At 40.2% G+C, this 12,125-nt stretch overlaps 1 long non-coding RNA gene across 3 annotated transcripts in view, besides 3 other annotated features; it reads right to left on the bottom strand.

Moving 5' to 3' along the window:
• Nucleotides 1-12,125, bottom strand: part of LOC105370108 (uncharacterized) — a 114,586-nt gene that overhangs the window by 81,774 nt on the left and 20,687 nt on the right. For 2 of the 3 annotated variants that reach the window (XR_001749777.2, XR_007063715.1), the window contains exons 1-2: nucleotides 9,553-12,089; nucleotides 8,666-8,742 (exon numbers count right to left, since the gene is read on the bottom strand). This is a non-coding gene — a long non-coding RNA (uncharacterized LOC105370108). Of the gene's footprint in view, nucleotides 1-8,665; nucleotides 8,743-9,552; nucleotides 12,090-12,125 lie in introns of those variants that run through there. The other variant, XR_007063716.1, reaches the window with a different exon arrangement.
• Nucleotides 9,553-10,053: an enhancer, noted in NCBI's record as "H3K4me1 hESC enhancer chr13:22637869-22638369 (GRCh37/hg19 assembly coordinates)". NCBI's record gives its function as "activates a minimal SCP1, AML or CMV promoter by ChIP-STARR-seq in primed H9 embryonic stem cells {active_cell/tissue: H9 hESC(primed)}" and the evidence as "EXISTENCE:reporter gene assay evidence [ECO:0000049][PMID:30033119]".
• Nucleotides 11,536-11,695: an enhancer, noted in NCBI's record as "active region_7443". NCBI's record gives its function as "activates an Ori minimal core promoter by ATAC-STARR-seq in GM12878 lymphoblastoid cells {active_cell/tissue: GM12878}" and the evidence as "EXISTENCE:reporter gene assay evidence [ECO:0000049][PMID:35858748]".
• Nucleotides 11,986-12,035: an enhancer, noted in NCBI's record as "active region_7442". NCBI's record gives its function as "activates an Ori minimal core promoter by ATAC-STARR-seq in GM12878 lymphoblastoid cells {active_cell/tissue: GM12878}" and the evidence as "EXISTENCE:reporter gene assay evidence [ECO:0000049][PMID:35858748]".

Raw genomic sequence — 12,125 nt, 5'->3', positions numbered from 1 at the left:
CTGAAAATATTAAATGGAAAATTCTGTAAATAAACAAGTCATATGTTTTAACTTGTGCCCCATTCTGAGTAGCAGGATGAAATCTTGCCCTGTCCCACTGCTCTCCATCCAGGGCGTGAATAATCCCTTTGTCCCAGGGATCCACACTGCATGCACCACCCACCCACCCATCAGTCACTTGTGCCCAGTTGGTCATCAGATCTACTTTCGCAGTATCACAAGGCTGAGGTTTAAGCTTTATTTGACTTACTCATGATTCCAAAGTGCAAGAGTAGTGATGATGGCATATTGTTATGATTTTCTATTATTAGTTATTATTAATCTCTTACTGAGTTTAATTTATAAAATAAATTTTATAGATATGTATGTGTAGGAAAAAACATAGTGTATATATGGTTTATTACTATCTGAGGTTTTAAGCATCACTGGGGGGTCTTAAGACTGTATCCCCACAGATAAGTGGGGAATACTGATACGATTCCTGGTATAGTATGCATATTAAGTATGCATACTTTAGTATAGTATAGTGTGCATACAGATGCATATTAAGTGTTAAACAATATCAAGAAGTACTATCATCATTGCCATAAGCAATGCTGTTATCCAGAATGGTTGTTTTTATAATGAAAGATCAACAGAAGGGCAGCTAGGTTGCATCTGGTTCCAGACAAAGAATGGAGCTGTGACCCTGCATGAAGTCAGGATATTGTCGGCCAATAGAAACACTCTGAGGACTTCTGTAAGTTTCTATGAAGAAGACAGTTGCTCACTCTTCGATCAAGTAGACTTAGTATTTTCCAAAGAAAAAGATGAAAAACTATGGGAAAACCCACTGGAAACCTTCATGCTGAGAGTGAGATAAGCAGAATGCAGACCTGTCCTCTCTAGCCACTGTCCCTGGGGCTGCCCTTGCTGCACGCCGGTGGGCTTGACAGAACAGCGCAGACAAGACCAACAGCTGCTCAGCAGCAATATCTGATTCAAAGCTTTCTGAAGCGGTGAGGACTGTGGACTCCTGGGGTCAAGAGGCAGCAACATGTCAGTGTGAGCCAGTGGAAGGAGGCCTGGGGGTCTGGGATGGTGTTGTGTGGGCCCTAGAGCTTCTGCCAAGCCCAAGTCCCCTACGATAACTAAGCCATGGAAGGAAGTAGAACCAAAGGGGATGTGATGGTGCAGGAAGTCCCAGGAGGGTGCAGAAGAGACGACATTTCTTTAAAAATGCCCCCACATAAATGGGAGATTTCACCGCTTTAACTCTAAAATAACGTTCAAAAGAGCCAATTTCTGTAAGCAATCATGAAACAGAAGCTGAGAAAGTTTCAACGCTCAGAGAATAAAGAAAGGAGTAGTCACTGCTGCAATCTCCAGCTTGAATTTTTTTTTCCTTTGCAAATGCAGGTTTTAACAAATGGAAATATTACATCTGTATACTGTGAACATCTTTCCTTGTCAGTATGTTTTCTGTTATGGCCCCTTTTTTCTTCACAAACGTATTTTTTAATAAAAATGGGAATATTGTATAAGCTTATTGTGACCATTTTTCCTTGCCAATATTCATCTTCAACCTGATTTTACGGACCTAGCTGAAGTCTGAACAAACCACTGTATCTCTGACTTTCTACTTTTGACGGAAGTTCTTTCACTAAGGTGTCCTGTGCTGGGACCAAGGTAATTTTTCTCACCAAAATTACTGACCATGTTAATCTCATGATAGCACTCCTTCAGCTAAGCCCTTAACTTCTGCTTAAATCTTCCTAGCGCTCCCCAGCCCCTCCAGGGCCCCTACATGGCTTTTCCCTCCACAGCATGTTCCAGGTGAGTCCCACGGGTAGCAATCCACCTTGCTACAGAGAGCTTCCTGCACCTGTGACATCCGCCTACTCTGTTACATGAAACTTCTCTCTCTGTGGACTTCTGGAGTCCCACAGCCCTTGAATCCCTTCTTAACTAAAAGACATGTGATCCCTGCCTGTACCCTTCCCCAATGTTTTCTTGGAGCTCTATGCCACTTATTTAACTCTACGTATAATGAATGTGCCCCACTTTTCTTGTAACCCCTGTACACAGTTTTCTAGTCTATGTATTTTGCTGAATGTTTTTATTTGCTGACTGCTCTTAGTTTAGACTGTCAATTATTCTACCCTGTAAGTTTCTTCAAAGTTCAGAAACATTGTATTAGTACACTCACAATAGAGGACCTGGCCCCAGGAAATGCCAATGAGAAAATAAAAAGAAGGAACTGATTAATCAAAAGTTTGTTTTTATCCCCAAGGAGGCATCTCTTTGTTCCAAAGTAGAGTGACTTATCAAATAAATCACATTTTGCAATGATTAGTCTACAGTACCCCTAAAACTCAAAATAAATTAGGAGAATTTTTTTTCCCAGTTTTGACTCAAGGTAAAACAAAACAGGGCTGTGAAGGTAACAACATCCATGACTCTACAGAGCAACACAAGCTTGCAGGAATTTGAGAGGTGTGGTAAAAAATCACAAAAATCCCACCTCCGATACGTTTCTTTTGCTCTGAGGCAAAATTGTAAAAACTTTTCTTTTGATTTTTGTTATCCAAATAATTCTAGCTTAAATTGGAACTCAAATATTAATCTGATAATGACACCGTTGAGACACATTCTCTGACGATTGATCTCAAATGACTTACAAGGCTTTACTTTACCCCATTTTCTGCATTCCTTTCCAGCCAGAGGTTTTGCCTGTCTTTAACACCCCTGCCCCCACCACCACCACTACCATCATCAGGGAGAAAAAGAGACCCTGAAATGTACGTATTAAGATGATTACTATGTGCTTGGGAATATCCTTTAATTTAAATTTCGTTTTATTTTATTTTTAGCTTCAAAGCTTTTGCAGGAATGAACACCTGTCTTTCAGGGCATTATAAGAAATTGTCAGGTACCTGATATTCTTTGTTTTGTCAAGTCCTCCCACAGTGACACTGGATAGAAGTCACATTTTAATTAATGATCAAAGCAAAGGACACCTGTAAGGCTGGGCTAGACTTCTGAACTCTTTGATATTAGGTTTACAAATCTGAAAGAGCCCTTTGATTCTCCCATGTGTTTGTCCTTTCTCGGAGATCAACTTAATTCTTTTTTTCAAAGGCAACATATTTTGCTAATCTGAGCACTGAAGTTATGGGTGACAATGTCCATTCACACAGCAACTCTTAACACCTTATAAAAGTCATACTCCATTACACAGGACGCCAGGGCCCTCCCTGTCCAAAGGCCCCACTGCAGTGGAGATTTGTGGTGGCACATGCTGTTTGAAGTATGAGAGCCCCCAAGTGGGGCTCGGAAATCCGTGAGTTTGACATTAGTTTAAGGACTTGTACTTGCTGTGGTGTGTCACTATGAATGGAGGAGAATGCAGCAGCCATTAAGACCACCCTGAATTAAGTTCAAATGTAATTAATCCTTTTTTGTAGGCAGAAATAAATTTTATATAACTGAAATACATATTGATATATGCTGAAATTATGTAGTATGTATTTGCTGATATTATGCAGCTTATATCAACTCATGCATATACTAACAAAATGCAAGTTAACAAGTACAAATATATTAACACATTAAAATAAAATGTTTATATTACATAGTATAGGTGCATTATAGTTTATAAACTATATGTAGTAATAATATATAGACTAATTTTATATACCACACACTAATTCCCATGATGAAAATGAGACAATTGAGACTGACATGTAAAAATAGCTTGGGAATGCTAATGGAAACTACTAGAAATAGTACTTTAAGTACTTCACAATAGTGGAATTGTAAGAAGTATAAAGAATAAAATCCAGAAACAATCACCACATTTTGGTATATCTCTATGCAATTTTGAATTAAAATAGAATTTTACACATCTAGGCATACTGGATATATAATTTTGTATTCTTTTTAAAATTAACATGAGTATTTTCTTTTATTGCTAAAATTGTCAGTGAGTATCCTTTGATAACTACATAATTATAAATTTTCTTGATCAATTGATTATTTCTAGTTTTCTGCAGGCAAAAAAAAAACATTGCAATGAATGACTTAATGCTTGAAACTGTTTGGTAAGGTTCTAATGCATAATGCTAAATTATTTGTTTTTTTTTTTTTTTTTTATCAAGACAGAGTCTCTGTCTCCAAGCCAGAGTGCAGTGGCACAATCTGGGCGCACTACAGTCTCCGCCTCCTGGGTTCAAGTGATTCTCCTGCCTCAGCCTCCTGAGTAGCTGGGACTACAGGCATGCGCCACCACACCCAGCTAATTTTTGTATTTTTAGTAGAGATGGGGTTTCACCATGTTGGCCAAGATGGCCCGGATCTCTTGACCTCATGATCCAACCACCCTGGCCTCCCAAAGTGCTGGGATTACAGGCGTGAGCCACCGCACCTGGCCTGCTAAATTATTTTTCTAATAGGGCATATCGGTTTATTCTACTAGCAATATATAGAAATGCCCAATTACTAAATTCTTGCCAGTAATTAGCATTTCATACAATTCTTTGATATTAGGTGAGTTCTTTAAAGTTTTAAACTTTTGGGATTACTAACAACACAGCTGAATTTTTTGTTGTTGTTTATCAGACATTTCAATTTCCTCTCATTATTTGTATAGTCTTACTGACTGTGCACTCAATTACTGATTTGCACGAATTCTTCATCTTTCATTGAGAGTAACCCCACACCCTTAGGTTTGGTGAAAATCCTTTTCCTTTTTTTATTGTTTTGACTTTATCAATGTAGTTTTAAATGCATAAAGATATATAAAGATTTTAAAAGTCTTATTATGCAAGCAAATCTGCTAGTTTTCTCTTTTGTGGCTCCTTTCTTTGCTTATTATTTTAGAAAGTCTTTTCCCATAAAGGGATTACATAAATATTGGCCTATGTTTTCTTATTATTTATTTTATCTTAAATTAGTTCTACCTAAACTCGTATTTCTTTAAGCAATTATTTACAGCAAAGCCAAGCTTTTGTTGTTTATCACAACATATTTTGCAAATATTCCCATTATTTATCACAAAATCACCAAGAAAAAGCCAGGTTATTCCAGAGCTAAAAAAAAGGATATGGAAGACCTGAGCTACTCTTGATGGGGTTTCTAAGGGGTTCCAATTCCTTTCTGCGCAGACTTCATAAAGAACCAATGTAATGGCTTAAGTCGCAATCTGTTGCACAGGAATTGTAATTTCTCATGGAGAAATAGTCTGAGCATAATTTTTCATTTTATAAAGGAGATGGTAATTGCGATGGGCTCTGTTTTTGTAATGGGGTGATCTTCTGGTTTGGTGTGACAATTTGAATAAGGAAAAGTTTTGAAGAGTTGCATATGCTCCTTGAAGAGGAAATTTGGTAAGAAATAGCAGCTTAGTCTTTGCTATGAAGTCACTCAACTTAAGGCAGCTTTCAACATCTTTTGAAGAAATCACCCTTTAAAGTTTAGCTGATCAAAGTGGCAGAATGTACAGAAGTCAGAATCCCTGGCTGGCCTATCCATTACAGAGGGTAAGATGCAAAGGGTTTTGAGCTGGAGGTTAGGATAGAAGCCAGGAGTGAAGTGTCTGCCTCGAACTTACCCATCAGAAAGAGAAAGACACTCACTAAGGCTTCACACTGAATCTGAGCACCCATGCAAACAGGCTCAGGCCTACCTGATCCTCAGTCAAATTAAAAGAAAGCTGTTTCCTTTCAACAGCAATCAGACCAGAAAAGGTTCCTCCTCTTTGTTTATAACTTTTTATTTGTTTTTTTTTGTTTTTGTTTTCATTTTTTTTTAAAGACAGGGTCTCACTCTGTTGCCCAGGCTGGCACTGTTGTACAGTGGCACAATCACAGTTCACTGCAACCTCTGCCTCTTGGGCTCAACGATCCTCCAGTCTCAGCCTCACAAGTAGCTGGGACTACAGGCACATGCCACCATGCCTGGTTAATTTTTTCATTGTTGTAGAGATGGAGTTTTGTTTTGTTGCCCAGGCTGGTCTTGAACTCCTGGGCTCAAGTGATCTGCCTGCCTTGGCCTTCCAAAGAGGTGGGACTACAGACATGAGCCACCTCACCCAGCCTGTTCACAACTTTTGATTTTAAGGACAGAAAGACACATGGAAATATTCTTCATTCAAACCTTTCATTTACTTTGAGACCAAACATTAAGGTCCAATCTGTTGTTGTTTTAAATCAAAACAATTGATTTAAACCTACTGAGAGAAAGGAACTCAAGCAAGACCTCATCTCTACAAAAATAAAAATAAAAATTAGTTGGGCTTGGTGGCACGCTCCTGTAATTCTAGCTACTTGGGAAGCTGAGTCAGGAAGATCACTTGAGTCCAGTAGTTTGACGTTACTATGAGTGAGCTATGATTTTGACACTGCACTCCAGTCTGGGCAACAGAGCGAGACTCTGTCTCTGAAAAAATAAAAAAAGAAGAAGAAGAAAATACTCGCTCTCATATGTTTATCACAGCGCTATTCACAATAGCAAAGATACGGAATCAACCTAAGTATCCATCAATGGAAGACTGAATAAAGAAAATGTTACACATATACACAATCGAATACTATTTGGTCATGAAAAGGAATGAAATCATGTCTTTTACTACAACATGGATCGAACTGGACGCCATTATCTTCAGTGAAACAACTCAGAAACAGAAAGTCAAATACCACATGTTCGCACCTGTACGTGGGAGCTAAACAATGTGTACCCATGAAAGTAGAGGGTGGAATGATAGACATTGGAAACTTGGAAGAGTGGGAGGGGGTGAGGAAAGAAAAATTACTTAATGGGTACAATGTACACTATTAGGGTGATGGCTACACTAAAAACCCAGACTTCACAACTATGCGATATATCCGTGTAACGAAACTGTGCACTTGTTCCTCTTTCAGTGATATAAATTAAGAAAAATTAAGTCACTGAAAATGAATGAGCTTTGTTTGGAAAAAAATGTAGGGCACGTGGAGGCAGAGAAGGAGAAAGAAAAAATGGAGGTGAGGAGGACTTTCTCAAGCATCCCACTCACCCCATCAATACAGTAACTCAAGTTAATTTTCTGTGAATGTGGAAACAAATACGGTTTTAATGGATTATAATCATTTTGTTGCATAGTGTTTGCCTAAACTAATGCTGGTGCAAATTATAACATACCAGACCTTGTTCAAGGCATATGTAATACTAAAAAAAGGTTCAATCGCCATAGATTATTCAAAATATTCTTAAATGGGATCACAAAGTCTGAGTATATCAATAGTAGGAATACTTCACATTTTAGTCTACACAGACTACAGCTACTGGTTTTTTTTTTAGCCTCAATATATTGCCACTTTACTACTGCTTTTTATTATCTAGCTTGATTAAAGATCAAAATTATTGCATACAATTGTCTACTATCTTAAAAATAGTATTAGCATGAGTAAGGCAACTGAGAACTGGTAAGAACCTTTATTCTCAGGGGAAGAGAGGACAAGAATTATAAATTATTAGGAGGATACTTTTCCTGGGTCTACAACCAGATTAAATTGGCCATTCTCTTCCCTCTTGTTTCCACTCCCAACCTGTAACCCCTTAGGTGCACAACTAATTTTGCTGTAATTTAAGCAGAGTTGGTTGTTTTTTTTAAGGAAAGTTAAGTGAAAGCACATCTGTAGGCAAGATCATCTTGCTCAGCTTCTGAGCCAAAACCCAGCAGAAGTATTTCACCTACACAAAAGGGGATTGTGGATGTAGATGAGGCTGACAAGGGCAATGCCAGGAAGCCAGGTCTTTTAAAGCACTGTCACCTCAGATGAGCCGCTCAGGAGCGCTCACACCTCAGGACCCAGCCCTATTCTTCACAAGTCTTCAAAGGAGGATCACATCTGACACTGTCCAAAGATTCATGCTTATTTTTCTCTTGATCTTCCTCCTCAAAATCTCCCTTTGAACAGGATTTGCACATGCAGAATGAATAGAGATTAGGAGCAATTATGGTTTTTGTTTTGCTTTTAATGGCCCATGCAACCCTGAAATTTGCTCGTGAAATCTACAGCTAATACTGTAGTATTGCCTGTCTCATCTGTCGAGTGCCATATTTCATGGCTTCCAAATGCCATTTCTGGTATTTTCTTTCAACTTCAATCTAAAGCTTTACTTTTCATGTGCTTTAAGTGCTGGGCACCAAGGCTAAGAATTAAAATATCCCAGGGCTTTGAGAAAGGGAGTGCTAAGCGATCCCCCAGTAAGTTCCCTTGCCCACCCAAGATCCTGCTCATTTCAAAAAACAAAGGCAAGCAGCAGAGAGAGGAGGAGTTGGAAGCACATTCCTGGGATTTAATAGTGACGCCTTGCACAGGGGATGGAGTCCTGGCAGGCTGTTATCTTTGTCTGCCTTGTCAGACTCAGGAGGGGAAGGGCCTCCAAAGAATCTATTTCACTGACATAGAAATGGCAGCTGGTGCTATTTCACTTTAAATAAATGTTTGGTACTAGCGCTGTCTATATAATCTCCCCTACAGCTAAAGCCTCGCCAGAACAAAAGGCACAACAAAAAAAATTAGGTGCATGCCCAAGTGTCCTGAAGTGGGAAGGTGTCAGACATTTCCTGGTCCAGGCCTTCCACTCCCACCCTCACCCTGGCTCCTTCCCCAGGGGGCACATGGTCAGGTCAATTGCCCACCTTGTTTCTCCATGAACAAACGAGGATTGTTCCGTCTGCTCGCGGTCAGCATGTGAGCCTCCCTGCACAGGCAGATTCTGTGACATAGGAACAAATAAGTGGCTGGGGAGTGAGTCATAAATAACCGATGTCGAGGTACATTGGTGTGAGTGGAGGCATGCTTACACTTGGGCTACAACGCTGGCACCACGGGAGTGTGCCGGACTCCAACCACAGCCCTGGTTTTCTCTTAATTTACATAAAGATCATCTGCCACCACCAACAAAACCACAAAACCTAAAGTAATATTAGTCCTCAAATAATTAACTGGTGGGAGATTAGGAAATGATAAAAAGAGCAGGTGAAATTTAAATTCCACAGAGCAATGTATCAAATATATACACACGCATATGTATTTGGTTCTAGCACTAGTGCATATTTTATATATATAGACACACATATATATATACAGACATATACACACATTTTTAAATTTACACATATGCATATTTGTATGTATATACACATATACGAACTTTTAAAAATATATGTATACACACATATGTATACCCATATAGATGTATTCATTTTTTAATTTTAGAGACATTTTTCAAGTGCCTAAAATATGTAGGACTGATGAAGATAACATAATGTTAGACAAGTGGTCTCTACTCTCAAGTATGCAACCTGTCAAGTAAATCTAATTGATATGCCTAAATATACTCATTAATAAGTACAATAATACTAGCTACCACTTGTGGAATCCTCCTCCATGTTGGACGTCACACTATGGCCTAATCTACTTTATAGTTAATTCTTCATACCAACCTTCCAAGGAATATTTCACTTCCATTATCTATGAAATGAAAATAACAAAATAGTAAGTTAGCTCCAGGAGATACACTAACCTCCTCAAGGCCCAGGTGCATGTTGAGCCCAATCTGTCTGTCTGTGAGGTCTGTGCTCCTTTTTCTCTGCTGCGCAGATAACTGTGACACAAGATGAGGCACGCGATGAGGGCCACGGGGAAGTTTCAAGGAAAAGCCACAGGGCCTCGGTGGGCACAAGAGAGAACGGGAAGCATCATGGGAGAAGTGGCACTGGCGTTGGACTTTAGTCGTGTCATGGAAAATCTGCCCATCGTTACAGACCTGAAAACTAGAATTCTGTTGAGAAATAAGCCCTGAGACTGGTCATTATTTAAATGATGATGCAACCAGTGAAACACGTCATCAAAACAAGTGCTTCAACCCAGAGTATTCCCCGCTTAGCAGACCAGGCATTTCCAGCCAGGGCGTTTCACCGAGGCCCAACTTCCCATCCTCGTGCCTGTCGATGGCTCAAATGGTAAGTGGGCAAACCCTGAGTGCCACGTGCCCTCATCTGGGAGCCTTCCACAGCCTCCACACGCGGTGCCCAAACACATGTGTGCTTCACACGAACAAGAAGCGAAGACATTCAGTTAATCATCGGAGTGTTCCCCAACAAGAAATCACCAGCGCTGGGCAGCCCAAGCATCTGCACGGTACCTTGAAAGGCCCGGCATCTCAGTGACAGAATCAAAACAGAGATAAGCACAGGCAGCACGGGTTGCCAGAATCTCAGGGTTAAAATCCTGGTTGCACTACCAGTCATGTGGCCTTGGGCGAATGTTAGCCTCCTTTGAACTTTTTAAAAATATAAAATAGTGACAATAACAGCACTTACCTCAAAGATTCCTTGTGAGGTCTAAATGAGATACTGTATGGTTAACCACATTACCTAAAATCCTAGCACATAGTAAATGCTCAGCAAACATTATCATGACCAGTACAGTTAGTTAGGAACAAGACAGGGCCCCCAGTGCCTGGTCAGGAACACTTCCCTACATCTTCTCTGGCTATTAGCTTTCCTTTACTTAGCAACATCTCAGAAAGCGTGGAAAGAAGAATATTCTAAGTTGTATGATTAAAACCCTTTCTCCTAAGTAAGTTTAAATTTTGAATTTCCATTAAGCTTTAAACTTTTTATGCATCTTCATTTGCAAACATCTCCTCTACGAGCCTCTGCCAAGTCCAGGCCAGTCCACATTTGCCCGGAAAATAGGCCAGGTTGCAAATGTGAGTCATGATAGCAAAGCTGATAGCCACAGATGACAGAAGCCTTGAGAAATGATGCCTCTGCTTGGTCTGCAGCAGAGAGCCTAACCAGCTCCATGCAGCTCCCTGGGCCTGGGATGCCCCCTGTGTAAAATGACGCAGAACTGGAAGGTGTCTATGGATTCTTCAAGGTCAAAATTTGTACGTTCACGTGACAAGGCTGCAGCCAAAAAAATATTCTCAGTTCTTCTTCCAACATGGAATGAATAAGTGACTGCATAAAACATCAGTCTTCTAGACTATGATTGCCAGTTTACAAATAATGAGAGAGAAACTGAGGCACCACAGATGATGTCAACCGTTTCTGGTCACTTGTGGATTGCTAAGCAGTCAAGAAATTGAAGTAGCTACTGTTTAGTGTCCCAGTCCTGTTTTCTCTCCACTCCTTCCCAATGACAAAGGTCTTATTTCAAAGCACAATTTGGTTTCATGCTGGCCAGTCCTTCACAAACCATCGAGGTAATGTTTATTCAACCTCACACTTTAGCGACTATTTATGAGCAGTGTTTACAAGTTCCAGAGATTGCCCCAGCAGTTATTAATGCTATGCAAATCAAAAGCCGTCTAAATTTGTTAATCTAGACAAAACACAGGGGCAACTCCAAACCAACGTGTGATATTCTGTCTCTGGGTTTATTCAAGTGTAATGCACCTTTAATGTCAACTTAGATTTTTCAACTCTTCACCAGACTCGCAGTAATTATAGTCAACAGGAAAGTCGAACTCAGCCAAAGAGGCAAGGCAACAGGAAATTGTGGGGAAATTTTAAAAACAAAACCAAAACAGAGACAAAAACCCCTGTCAATTTTAAGAACAGTTTATAAAAAAATAAAACTTGCCCTTATGTAATGAAGTAAGAAGAACGTGAGGTGGTGTGTTAGGGGCAATTGTCAATGCCCCTTTGGCTGTGAGAGTCAGTGCCATCCTGGGCTAGAACCAGCACCTGCCAGAGTTGGGTCCACGGTCTCCTCAGAGCAGAGCGTGAGATCCAATCATCAGCCTATTTTTGGCTGCACAGTTAATGATCTGTTGGTACCCACACTTTTCACTTTGTCACAACAACTGGGGCCTGCAGCTGAAGCACAGCTGGCCTCTCATTCTCCCAGCCCTATAATTTAGTTTAACAGCTTTAGGGAAAAGAGGAAATGGCGGAGTGCCCTGGAGCCCCCACACTGGCTTCAAAAATTAGTTCCTTACCATGCTGTATATATACTCACAAGTATTTTAGGCTAACAATGTAGGCAGGTCAGGCCCAGATGGGTGCACGGCGCTGTTCACTCTGTGCTGCCGGCAGGGTAGCTCGGTGTGGGGAGGGGAGAGAGGCATGATGAGTGATATGTGTG

Source organism: Homo sapiens, chromosome 13, assembly GCF_000001405.40.
Source record: "Homo sapiens chromosome 13, GRCh38.p14 Primary Assembly".
In the NCBI taxonomy this organism is placed as follows: Eukaryota; Metazoa; Chordata; class Mammalia; order Primates; family Hominidae; genus Homo; species Homo sapiens.
The sequence above is the reverse complement of the archived record's forward strand: the minus strand, read 5'-3'. Positions and strand labels throughout refer to the sequence as shown.